Here is a 14,215-nt window from a genome sequence, read left to right on the forward strand (position 1 = left end):
ATTGAGAGTTAGGGCAGATCCTGCTGTGATGCCGTGGTGGGAGAGGCTGACAGCAATGGGATCCTTTCTAGCATGGACAGGAGGAAGCGGAAAGATGCCAGGGATTAAATTTTCTCAGAAAAGGAGAAGAAATGATCCTCTTCTTCCTTCTTTTCTTCCCTACTCCTGTGCTGTTTGGTGTTTAAACTCTTAGCACTCAGTGAAATGGGAAAGGTTCCCTTGTCCCCCTCGCAGGGCGTGTGATGTGTGTGTGGCTCACTTCTTCAGTCTCCCACTGCTCGAACCTCTAGGGGAGCATACAGACGGGCAGGTCGTGGGGCTCTGACCCCATGGCAGTGTCTAAGGGTGGATGCTTACAGCTCCTGAAGCCCCAGTAGGCGTGTGTTACAGGGTGCTTTTTTAGTCTTTCCGTCTATAGGCTTGTGTTAACCAGCTGAATTAGACCCTCTCCCTTGTCACAAGGACAGAGGGCTTTCTGTATCCCGGATTCTTGCCTTGGTGTACCGGAAGAATCAGATCACACCTGGGCTTGGGGAATGAGTGCAAGGTTTAATTGAGTGGAAGTAGCTTTCAGCAGATGGGGGAGCCAGAAGGGAGATGGTTTTCTTGTGGATTGGGCCTTCCAACTGCTCAGGCAAAACTTGTCGTTCCGCCAGTCGATGGCCGGCTGGCCTGCTGGCCTGCTGGTGTCTGTTGTGTGCCCCTCTGGACGTCCTCTCGATATCCAGCCACCTGTGTTTTCTTCGCCGATGTGTTCCTCATGATGTCCAGCCACTTGTGTGTTGGCCTGCTAGGGTCTCGGGGTTTTTATAGGCACACGATGGGGTGTGGCCGGCCAGGGTGGTCTTGGGAAATGTAACATTTGGATGTGAAGGCAGGAGTGCCTGTCCTCACCTAGGTCTGTGGGGGTGGAGCCCTAGCCAGGGGCCACGCCCTTCTCTACCCAGCACTTCCCTTCACCACTTCTTTATCATTTGAAGGGACCACGCTCTTCCCTTCCCAGCACTCCCGTATCACTAGGGTCTGTGGCAGAAATAGGATTTCCCTTTGCTTCTAATTGGGTATAGAGAGAAGTGAAGAGCTGAGTTTCATTTGTCTAAGAATCTCACAACTTACTGTAATATGGTTTCCATTAGAATATGTGTTGCAAATATAGTGAAACTTAAAAACAAAACCTCCATTGTAAGTTGACTTTTGGCACGTAGCTTCCTCATAGCTTGGGTTGTTCTTGGCTTTGTTAAATAAAGTTAAAATAAAGAAAGTGGTGTAGACTGGGGCTTGGCAAACAATGGCCCTCAGGACAAATCTAGCCTGTTGCCTGTTTTTATAAATAAAGTTTTATCGGAACAGAGTTGCTCTAGTTAATTAAGGTACTGTTTGTGACTGCATTCACAATATTAGTGTAGAGTTGAGTAGTTACGATAGAGACTATATGGCTCACAAAATCTAAAATATTTATTATCTGGCACTTTACATAAACAATTTTGCTGACCTTTGGTGTAGATGGTTAATATCCAAAAAACAAAAAGGAAAAAAAAACCCAACTCTTTTATGTGCTCTAATGTATTTGCTGTTGAAAACAAAGGGAATTTGTGATTCATTTAAAAAATATATATATAGCTATTTGATGATTTTGAAGATATTTTATAGTTATTGTTCCATTTGAATGAAGTAAAAATGTTATGATGTCTTAGGGTACAATTGAGCTATAATTTTAGTATGTCAATGACTACAGCTTTTTTCTAGGGAAGGTTATAATAGTTAACAGGAAAATATGACATAAATAGTAAAAACATGATATAATAGTAAAAATTAGTAAAAAATTTTTGTTTTGGGCTGTAAGTTTTTTTGGAGAGGAGACTGTAGTAAGTGTAAAAACATGATGTTATATAATTAGTTTTACACATATTTTCAGGAATATTTTTAATACACAAATGTGTGGATATAGTCTATTTTGGTGTGAATTTAAACTTTGAAAACTGCTAAAAGTTTCAGTTACTTGAGAAATAGTGAATTTTTATTTAATGATCAAATTAAACACTAATAAAATTATGTCTTTATTGTTTTCAGTTTTGAGAGCATTTGAAAAGTGCAGGCCTGTGTTGGGGATTTCATTCAACACAATTATTGATTGTTTCAGGTATTAAGCACTGTTTGAGGCTCTGGGATTTCAGTACTGAATAAAACAAAATACTTAATGAGCTTATGTGGGTAGGGAGAGAAACAAACAAACATTCCTTGACTCAATTTTTTTATCAAATTACACCAAGTGCTTTTTTAAGACCTGGGGATCGATAATAGCAATGAAGGAAGCAAATTTTCTGCTGTCATGTAGCTTAAAGAAAGGTAACATGTAAGTCTGGTAGCAACTGTTAGGAAGAAAATGAAAGCAAGGCATTGAGAGAGAAGAGGGGTGTAATTTTTTGTAGCGTAGTCAAGGAAGACTTCTCTGGTAAAATGATTTGAGCAGGGACCTGAATGAAATAAGGTAATGAGTAATGGGAATATTTGAGAAAAGAACATTCTAGACAGAGGAAACAGCAATAAAAAAAACACTGGGGGAGGAATGTGCTTGTCATGTTCAAGAAACAGCAAGGAGAGGCAAGTGTGGCTGGAATAGAAAGTGCCAGAGGGAGAATGGTAGGAGATGAGTTTATTTTCTACTTAATGAATAGCTTTGAATATGTATCAGAGGCAAAGCCACATGAGACCAAGCTAAATTCTGTATGAGGTGACAGCAGTATAAAACCAGAAAACAAGGATATATGGAAGAGGTCCCTAGACCAGAAGTGAGGAAATAATAGTTAATTTGCTCATTGTTTCTCAAATTAAATCCCACTTCTGTGAATCTCTTTGTGATTTACTCTTTCAAAATGGAATTCTAGATGGTATAGTCCAGTGCCCCGAGGCCTGTGTAAATTGTTGAATTTATGGTGTGCCAATACCATTATAGGGTGGTCATCTGGTTAATTTGCAACAAAGAATATGAGGTTTGGAATAAATGGGTCAGAAAGCCTGACTAAAATGAGAATAACAATTCACATTCAATTAAAAATGTGAGTAGCCTGCAATAATTTCTTATTGTACTTGGGTAAAGGGGAGAATAGAAGTAGAATGATAATTAATAGTTGTAAATTTAAAAGTCAGCTTTTTTGCAAGTGTTAATTTTTCCTGGAAGTGTTGTACAAAATGATCAAGTTCCTGTAATTGCAGAAACACTGATCATGGTATTTATAATTGCAAGGCATGCGAGGTAGCTGACCTTAAGTGTAAACTAATTAACGTAGGATTTGTGTGATATGCTTTAGCAAAAGTAGATATTTGAAAATAACTGACTTTTTTTCATTGTACAAATGACAATATTTGTGGCATTTTATTTGTTTAATATTACTGAGCACAATTTTCACTGTGATTCTTTTCATTTTAAAGCAAGTATCAATAAATGAAATTTTGTTTCTGGCATAATAAGATTATTACTTAAGCTTGTTCACAAAATATTTTATAAAGAACAGCATCAATCACAACTATTATTTAGCTACTGTTTGTGGAAGAGTACAGGCTTTTGACACTCAGCAGTTAGTAATAATTATTTAAATACCATATAAAGACAAGACAAATTAAATGTATACCATTCAGACATTCGGAGATCTCACCAGGAAAGACCCCCATGTATAAACAACTGGGCCTAAGAAGCTCTTTTGCAAAGACTTGGTGGAATTCAGGACACATTTTTACTCAGGAGAACCATATATAGGGTATTCACTTCACAGGCAAATGCAAAATGTATCAGGAAGCTGTATACATTTCATGGATTTTAGAGGAGTCTAGTACTAGTTTTTAGCAGATCTAACTTTATAGAAAAGCTTATAGCTTTCCCTTTCCTTGGTGTATATATATCAGTAGCACAGCCATTCTCGAATCTGTTTAGGATTACTCTTCTGTTTGCTACCTGTGTCACTTGTCCTGTGTGGTGGGTCTGGTAGTATGTGTTCATAGCGGGGTTGCTTTATGAGTAGGTCCACTGGTGAGGCAGTTATTGACATTGCAGTCACTCTTCCAAGGGCAGCAGCAGACCGTCTCCATGGGTGCTGTGCTTATGATTTTCAGCCACAGAAAGCCAAGGTGATGATGAGGGCCGTCCTTGACCACGCATTTGGTCCACACTTCACAGGACAATAGGAGAGGTGGGGAAGGCCAGGCACAGCAGACTGGGACAGGCAGGCCCTCTCTATGGAAAGCCCTATGGTGCTACCCATCAAGATTCCTTTGCCTTCATTCTGCTGCTGTATCCAGAGATACCCATGCCTCTCACTAGCCTTGCCTGGTATGGGGAGGCAAACCTGTTTGGGGCTGGATTTTGGCTGTAGGGTTGTGTGAAATAGGGTGAAATAGAAGAAGGGGAAGAAAAAATCTCTCAGTCTAACTTCTTTTCTTTACTTTAGGCTTCCCGCCAACCCTTTGGTGAATTTGAAAGTAGTGATCAGATGCTCATATGCTGATCCAACTAGCCTAGTTTCCACCCTTACATTTTGAGTAAACTACTACAATCCAGACTTTAATGGCACTGGACACACCTTTCTCCTCACTACCATTTTAGATTTATAACATTTTACTTTTATTTACTCAAGCCAAAGTACTCATTTAAGGTGTCCTCTAACTTTACAACTAGGGAGATGGAATACCATCAAATATATAACTACACTTAAATATATCTGTGTCTATCTGTATTTGTGTGTATCATTTAAATATCTGTTATACAAGGTCATAAATAATCCAGGAGTACAGCATCTGTTTCACCTGCTGCTCTCTTTATGATGTGAAGTGATGAGTCACATGAGTAATTGTATTACTTGTATAAAGTACTTGGAAGACAGTTTAACTTGCATAAGTCCTGTGCTGTGTGTCATAAAGATGAAAAGTTTGAGCCATCTGTTACTTAAAAAAAAAATTACCCCAGTGTACCACCTGGTGTTTAACTAGGCCTTGGGATTTGTTCCAGATACAGCACTGCTTCATTGAACAAATATTGGGGGTGAGGGTGGGTGGGGTTTGGTGATTACTTCTGGGACCTGGGAGGGACCCTTTTCACTGAGTCCTGAACAACGTTATTTAGATCATTGTTATTTCCTATTGTGGTTTGTCTGTCATTAAAAACAATTTTGTCTTAATTTTGAAAATTGGATATGAGGAGTTACATTACACAAAACAACATTATACAATGATGGAGATAATGTTCTGTGCAGCATGATTTAATTTGGAGCAGTGGATAGCCACCTGCTAGGCCTTTGTTCTTGTGGCAGTCTGGCAAGTGGTCCCAGTGTTTTGGGTCTTTCCTTGGTCACGTGGCTGTTGAGATCTGCCTGGGTTAGTTGCAAACCATTAATCCAGTAGCACAGAATGATGAAATATTTGACTACTGGGTGTTTGAAGTAAGAAAACAAATCCTTTTAAAAGTTATTATTCAGCAACCACAGAATGCTTTTATCATGTTGATATAACATCTGAGTCTTTACATTTTATCTAAGGGTAGCCTATTCTTATCTACAACATAAAAAAGAAATCTAGGTAATATTTGGCATTATGGTAACTAGCTACCATATAGCACCTGTCTGCTTACCCACTGTGGTGGGGTAACCATATAATTCAGTGATTAAACTGGAATACTTTTGTCAGTGACAGAGAGCTAGGACGAAAGGTGTAAACAAGGATATGTAGTCATTTTACTTACAAGGCATAGCCATATTTTGCCATCTTCCATGATCAAGAATAACTGACTATTCCTCATGCATGTAAGAGTAATTCTTATTTTCAAATTGCATTAATTGTGCTGGTATAGTGCCTCATATAAAGTAGGTACTCAATAAATATTTGTAAATTGAATAAATGTTTATGCTTAAAGAAATCTTAAAGCTTCCTGCCAAAATCTTTAAAAATGTACGTTTTAGAAGGGCTTTGAGTTAAACATCCTCTGTATTTTCTTGATATTAAGACCCAGTGTCAGGATTCCCCACAGTGGCATTACCCATGGACCTGTGATCTAAACTCTGAAACCATTTTAATATGTAGTATATTATAAGAGTAGGAAAAGCACTTAATTGCAATTACGTATTGTTCTGTCTAAAATAATTTAACTGTGTGCTAGAAGAGTGAGCCCTTTAGTCAAGTGCTTATGACTTATCTTGGTAACTTATTTACTTTACCTTTTTACTTGAAGTTGTTAAACAATTCAGTGGCTACTTAACATTTCCTTAAATTTACTCTGAGAGAAAATAAGGAACCCAAGTCATTTAATTTACTTGTTTGTTAGTACCTTGTCAGAGACTTTAATAGTACGGAAAGAAATTTGGGATAATTTTTTTCACGAATTTTCAATTTTTGTGTTGTTCACTTTAGAAATTTTCTTTCATTTAAAGTTTTCTCTCTCCTTGCAAGGCCTACTTTACTATATATGACATAGAAAAGGGTGCAGGAATTTCTATCCTTTTCTATGTGGTGATTCTTGCCTGCCTGGGCAGCTTATGAGACAGATTGGATTTAGCTCAACCCTGGAATGTGTGTTACAGTGTGGTGGGTTTTGGCAAGTCACTTGTGGTTTAGAGGGACTCTATGACGTGGGCTGGGAACTTTGGTCTTTTCTTTTGGTTTGAAGTAGGTTTTTTAAAAAAGGTGTTAGACAGTTTCAGGTTCGAGACCTTGTTAATTGGTTTAACATCCCATCTGTCCTAGTCACTCTGATTCTAATATGACAGAATTGAAACAGATGCTATTTAAATCTCCATTTCTTTATTTTATTTTAGTTTTTTGTATGTGTGCATGTGTCTGATGATATTGTAGTCTTGGTCTTTCTGTATCTTTCCCTTTGACTTTTCTACAATTTCTGGTCTGGTTTCTTTGTGTTTCAGCCTTTTTCTTCTTGTCCTTATGTTTTTTCTTTTTGACTTTTTTCACTTGAGTGACAGAGTTTACCAAGTCTTATTGTTTATGTCTACCCTGATGTATCATAATAGTCAAACATTGGTCATGATAGAACTTGCTTCAGTACTTCATGATTTTTATACAGTAGAACTAAATCCATGGGAAGATATTTATTTACTTGTTAATTATCTTCCCATTGCAATGTAAGCTCCAAGGGCAGGGGTTCTCTTTTTTTTACGACTGTATCCCCAGAGCCTGGAAGTGTGCTGAGTGTCTAACAGCTGTTAAAAAAAAAATGAATAGAAATGCTTTAGTTTTCTGAGAGTTTCCCAAATTAGATATTATTTAGGGAGAGTCTTGAAGTTCCTTTGCTCTACAGCACACCCCTGAACCTTGGCTGGTATTTGAACCGTCTAATGAAGAACAAAGTACTTTTGAGAGATTCTATTTGTAATACTGTAAGATTTTTTTTTTAATAGATTGAGCATCCCTAACCCAAAAATCCAAAATCTGAAATGCTCTAAAATTCACAACATTTTGAGCACCAATGTGATGCTCAAAGGAAATACTCATTGGAGCATTTTCAATTTTGGATTTTCCAATTAGGGATGCAAAAAAAAAATTTGAAGTCTGAACACTTCCACTTCCAAGCATTTCAGATAAGGGATCCTCAACCTGTAGTCTCTTCCCTTTCTAGTGCTCATTGTCCCTAGACTCGATTTTACTACTTTATCAGTTAAGATGCTTGTTGGTTTCATTAATAGAAATCTCAGCTGAAACTCACTTAACAATAAGGACGTGGATTATGTTGCACAACAGGAAGTACAAGAAGGCTTCAGAGTGGGTTAATTGAACTCATTGTTGTCATAAGAGACCTAGGTTGGGTCTTTTTATATTTTTCTTTTGCTTTCTTGGCTTCATCCTTCAAGCTATTATTTTCTGTGATTATTAGGACAAGGGCAGCAATTAGATCAACATTTTCCTTGTTGTATGTAATGGGAAAGAGGCTGGCATTTCTTTCCTTGAAGACCTGAGTAAGAATTTCTCTATGTTTTTATTGGGCCAAATTGGTCTCAGATTATTCTCTCCCGAGTATTGGCAAAGGCAATGGAGTTATAGCGATTAGCTTGGAGTAATCATCGAGAGTGAAATGGATGTTGGAATCAACTACAACACTTGCAGAAAATCCCATATGAATTAACCTTTATAAATAAATTTCTAAAGACTGTTGATTTCCTGAGCTTCAAGTTAAAACTTCCCTGAGTAATTAGGTTTATAACCAAGAGGATGCAGGGTGAAGTCAACATTATGATAATTACTTCATTAGGGAAATCATGGCATTTAAATAAAAAAAGTAACAAGTTTCATCTTCCTAAATTTAGTAAATATTACATGCAACATTGTTTGTAGAAAGTAGGTACAGTCATGTGTCCCATGATCCCGTGATGTTTCAGCCATTGAGAGCCACATACACATCTAGCTATGTTTAGAAACACAAATACTTAGCTTTGTGTTATAGTTGCCTACAGTGTTTAGTACAGTAACATGCTGTATAGATGTGTAGCCTAGGAGCAATAGGCTACACTATATAGTCTAGGTGTGCAGTAGGCTGTACCATCTAGATTTGTGTACATACACTCTGTGATATTCACACAGTGATGAAATTGCCTAATGACACATTTCTTAAAATGTATCCGCATCATTAAGTGACGAATGACTGTATGTAAAAATCAGTTAGAACTGACTTCCCTTTAAGTCTGTTTAAACTGATAACAATCAGTAAGTTTGAATTATTTAAATAAAATGAAATCTGTGGACTAGAAAAGTGGAGGAGATAACTAGGACATAGTGAAGCTTACTTTAAAAAATACAGAGTCAATATAAAAGGTAATGTGCATCTGTTACCTTAATTTACTGAGAAGTTTTTGATTTACTTGAACATGCAGTAATGGATTATTTTTGTTTGGCCAAGTATTTTCAGTAAATTTTAATAGGCATTTGGAAGCATTATGATATTATGGAGAAAATACTGAATCAGGAATTGGAATCCAAATTTCTGGTTCTGGTCCTACCTATTGACATGATTTCTAGTAAAACATTCAACCTCTGTAAGCCCTCATTTCTTTGTAAAATGCTTCCTTTTTAATTTTCTTAAAATGTCTATTTCTTTTCATTGATTGTAACCACTGCTTTCCTGGGAATTGAGCGACATATATCATTCCTCTAGAGGTGTGGCTTTTTAGTAGGATTAAGATTATATGTAATTAAGTTTATTTGAACAAGAAGGAACAGGTAAAAAGCAAATAAAAGTTGTGAGATAGATATCAGTTCTGTCCTCGGTGTATACAGTGATTGTAGAGAAGAGTATTTCTGTTTTGAAATATACATGTTAATTCATTAGAAAGGAATTATTTTGTAGGTATAAACACATTACATTTTCCCAATATTTCGAGTATGTCATTAGCCAAATATGAGATTCTAATGTTGTCTGGCATTTCGAATAGTGTCAGACTTCTACATTTGTAAATAAAAGACTGAAGCATAGATTCCTTAATCACCTGTAATATAGTAAAAAGAGTTTTGGACTTAGAGTCAGAAGACAAATTGGAATCCTGGCTCAGCTAGTTTAGAAAAAACCTTGGTAGCATGGCGGAATGATAATATGGATGCTGGAGTCAAACAGAGGCAGGAATGAGTTGGATTTCACCACTTACATTAATACATTTTGATGAAAGAAAGTTTGGATACCTTTGGCCTGTATGTTGCAGAAAACAACCAGAAGTAGCATGAATCATAAGTGTGTTATCTCATAGAACAGGAAGTCTGGAAATTGGTATTTATGTGTTAATTCCATGGCTTAATGATATCTTCTGCAACACAGGAGTATTTAAACTTTTGGTTCTGTCATTCTTAGTTTGTTTGTGGTATCTTCGTTTGAGTGGTGATATTGCTGTAATAGCAATAGTTCAAGATATTACATGCAGTCATGATGACAGCCAGTAAAGAGAGGAATTCCTCCCATTTGTCTCTTTTTAGTAGGTAGAAAACCATTCTCAAAAGCTGTAGTACACACCATTGATTCAAATTATGTCTCAAACTCAGACTAAAAGTTACTCACTAGCAAGGATAATGAAGATGCCATGACTGACTTAGACTTTTTTTTTTAACCCCACCTTTGGATTTGGGGGTGGGGAGGCTCTTTCCTGAGCACAGCCCCTCATAGGGTAAACAACAAACAAAATCGGATCTCTGCCAGGAAGCAAATGGGGTGTGTAGGGAGAAGAACCTGAGTTGGCAAACAAAAGTGATGAGCTAATCATCTTGAGTAGAGGCCAGTAGGAGATGCACAGAAACCAAGAGAGAGTGGTAACAGAATACAACAGTCTGTGCTCGGGGCAGTATGCAGGGTGCTACAGGAGAATGTATGAGAAAACCTGAATCCAAAGTTGCAATGGTCAGGAAAGACTTTTCTGGAGGAAATGACAGCTTAGTTATCACCTAAGGGATTAGTGGAAACCAGACAGGAATTAGTCATGAGCAGCATACCCTTCTTCTGTATCTATAAGAGCACAAAACTTAGCCATGATGGTGTTTCAGGACTATTTTAAGGAAAGTTTTAGGACAAATGTTGGCTTCAATACCTAATCAGTGTGCTTGATGTGTTAGAAAAAAAAAAAAGAAGTGAAATGAAAAGAAAAGAAAATTTAAAAAAAGAAAAGAAAAAAACACCTAATCAGAGGTAAGCACCATTATCTGTATGTATAACAACTAATGTTCAAAATGATTGTTGTTTTTCAAGAAAAAGTTATATAACTTTTTTTTTTGAGATGGAGTCTCACTCTGTCGCCCATGCTGGAGCGCAATGGCACAATCTCGGCTCACTGCAACCTCCACCTCCTGGGATCAAGTCGTTCTCCTGCCTCAGCCTCTGAAGTAGCTGGGATTACAGGCACCCGCCACCATGCCCAGCTAAGTTTTTGTATTTTTAGTAGAGGGTTTCACCATGTTGGCCAGGCTGGTCTTGAACTCCTGACCTCGTGATCCACCTGCCTCACCCTCCCAAAGTGCTGGGATTACAGGCCTGAGCCATCATGCCTGGCCTATATAACTTTAAAAATGCTGTATATTACAGTATGAAACACTCTCTTTTAATCTTTGTAAGATTCTAAGATTCAAAGGACTTGTGATCATGTAGTTCTTACTTCTGTGAAAAGCAATCATTACTTACTTGATGCCTGTAATGAGAAGTGTTTATTAGAACAAAAACTAGGATGACTTTAATTATTTCAAGAAGCACAGGTAAGAGACTTTACCCTCTGATGTTAATGCAAAGCATATACCTGGAATCGACATTCTGCCATATCTTTACTTGCATCCTTTAAAGCTGTTTCTTAAGTTTTGATTGAATTAATTAATTTAGAAAAGAGCTTACACTAACAAGGGTTTTTTTCTTCTAATGAATCAGGAGTGAGTTTGCATGTTTTGCTCTCCACTGCCATTTTTATATGTTTTGTTTCTCTTTAAATAATACTCGTATCTTAATTATTTAAAAATGATACCACATCCTAAGAGTACATGATGTAAATCATTCTTAGTTCCTAATACTTACTCTCCACTCTCCAAAGACATAGACATCATATTAGGAGACTGATATTCTTTTTTCATATTACTTGGATAATTCATTGCCCCATATATTCATGGAGAATAATTGCAAGGCAAACCAACAGATATTTCAGGTAACCCAGAAAAAGGATATGGTAAGCACATTTGCAAAGAAATACTTGATGAACTAGAATTCATACACTGTACAATGAAAATAAAGATTTTTATGATCGATTTTGACTTAAAATTTTTCTTTTTTTTCTTGTTAAAAACAAAACAACATCTAAGCTCAAGAAATATAATACTTAACAATTGACATAGAAAAGTCAGACAAGTTCTTTATTTATAGAGCTTTCTAAATACCTTATCACAAGTTACCACAAGATAAATGTGTATGAAAAATTAGAGCCACCTACCTGTTTTGGTTTTTGTAAAAATCAAATGTGAGACATATACTTTATTCACTCTATTAAAATACATCAGTGATGCTAACTTTGATCATATTTGGACTTTTAAACAAACTATTTTATCCTTAAAAAAAGAAAACATAAATGCAAGCAAAATGATTTCTTATGACACTTTTTAAAAATGAAAAATGCTTTTGTCAAGATAGACTTATACTTAAGAAATAAAGAAAAAGCAGGATCTATCGACCAGGATGAAAGATGTTCTTTTTTTTATCATAATAACATGAAGGGCAAATTACCACCAGCTTATGGGCAAGAAGTAAATAAAAACAAAGTACTATGATACAAAAAATTCTCATAATGTTCAGTTGATCCAGAAGATAATAGTCTAAGGCTATTAGCTATGCTAGTCTCTTATTTTTAATATTAAAATATTTTTTATTAAATTTTTTGCATGTTAAGTGTTTGTCGTAATCAATGATGTCCCAAATTCAATGCTTTTGTTAATATTAATGATACTATTGTCTGTTCTTTTTTTTTTTTTTTTTTTTTTTTTTTTGAGACAGAATCTCACTCTGTCACCCAGACTGGAGTGTAGTGGTACAATCATAGTTCACTGCAGCCTTGATTTCCCAGGCTCAAGTGATCCTCCCACTTCAGCCTCCCAAGTAGCTGACACTACAGGTGCGCACCCACCATGCCTGGCTAAATTTTTTATTATTTGTAGAGACTGGGTCTTCCAATGTTGTCCAAACTGTATTATTGTCTATTCTTGTTCACTAGCCTGAGCCATTCACCTGATATGGGTGACATTTTTTCTTTTTTCACTGAAATGAAAATTGGCAGACTTTTGCTGCTTCTTTATTACCCAATGTTAACTAATGTTTTCCAGTCTAGAATTTTAACTTAACTAATATTTTAAACTTGTATATTAAAATAAAACACTTGGCATACATAAGAGTTTATAGAGTATAACCTCTACATCTGAAGAATTAGGGATACTTCTGAAGGTGAGGAAATCACTTTGCATCATGCTATGAATTTGTTAAACTGTTTTTATTTTGTGACTAGCAGCCTTGTTTTATTTAAAAAATAAATTTTATTGTATAAATTTAAGATACGTGATCAGACACATATATAGTAAAAATATTATTATAGTGGAACAAATTAAGATCATCATCTTACAATTATTCATTTTTCCCTGCCTGTGGCAAGAGCAGTTATAATCTACTCATTTAGCAAAAATTCTGAATATAATACAACATTATTAACTATAGTCCTTATGTTATACATTGCATCTTTCAACTTGTTCATCCTGTTGTGTTTGCTGCTTTGTATCCTTTGACCTACATCTCCCTATTTTCTCCCACTTCTGCCAGAATCACTGTTTTATCCTTTATGTATTATATTTGCCAACCCTCCCCCCACCTTTTTAAAAAAGATTCCAGATTTAAGTGAGATGATGCAATATTTTTCTTTCTGTGTCTGGCTTATTTTACATAGCCTAATATCCTTCAGGCCCATCCATGACGGGATCTTCTCCTTCTTAAAGACTGAATAATAGTCTGTTGTATGTATTCACCACATTTACTCTATCCATTTGTCTGTCCATAGACACTTAAGTTGTTTCCATTTCTTGGCTATTGTGAATAATGCTGCAATGAACATGGAAGTGCAGAGATCTTTTATGAAGTGGTGATTTCATCTTTTTGGGGTATATGCCCAGAAGGTAGATTGCTGGGTCATATGGTAGTTCTATTTTTAATTTCTGTGGGCACCTCCGTACTGTTTTCCATAGTGGTTTGTACCAATCTACATTCCTTCCAACAGTGCACAAGGGTTCTCTTTCCACCACGCTTTCATCAATGCTTGTTATCTTTTGTCTTTTTGATAACAGCTATGTAGGATATTCTGAAAATATATTTAAAATATTCTTATTTTTCCTAGTCAGTATTTCCTGACTTTTCTCCTCTAGGTTGCATGTATTGCTTTAGTAATAAACAAAAGCATTAATGAAAACTTCGTTTTGAAAAAATTGGATCTGGGATAGAATTTACCATTTTGTTGTGGGTTTATTTTCTGATATGGATTTATTTTACTATTTCACTTGTAATTTTAGTTTTTCTCAACTTAGGTAAGAAGACGAATGAGAAGGTGAGAGACAGCTAGTGCGTGCTCATGGGATATGACATTTGAAGGGAAAAGGATTTGATAGAATCTCAGGCATTTGATAAAGAGTTATTTGGCACTTGCAGTAAGCTAAGCACTGTTCTGGTTTGGTGCACACTGTG

General features: G+C 36.2%; 1 protein-coding gene across 12 annotated transcripts in view, besides 1 other annotated feature; it reads left to right on the forward strand.

Moving 5' to 3' along the window:
• Positions 1 to 14,215, forward strand: part of CDKAL1 (CDKAL1 threonylcarbamoyladenosine tRNA methylthiotransferase) — a 697,948-nt gene that overhangs the window by 167,467 nt on the left and 516,266 nt on the right. The window lies entirely within an intron of this gene.
• Positions 6,773 to 6,822: an enhancer, noted in NCBI's record as "active region_24132". NCBI's record gives its function as "activates an Ori minimal core promoter by ATAC-STARR-seq in GM12878 lymphoblastoid cells {active_cell/tissue: GM12878}" and the evidence as "EXISTENCE:reporter gene assay evidence [ECO:0000049][PMID:35858748]".

This window comes from Homo sapiens, chromosome 6 (assembly GCF_000001405.40).
Source record: "Homo sapiens chromosome 6, GRCh38.p14 Primary Assembly".
NCBI lineage: Eukaryota > Metazoa > Chordata > Mammalia > Primates > Hominidae > Homo > Homo sapiens.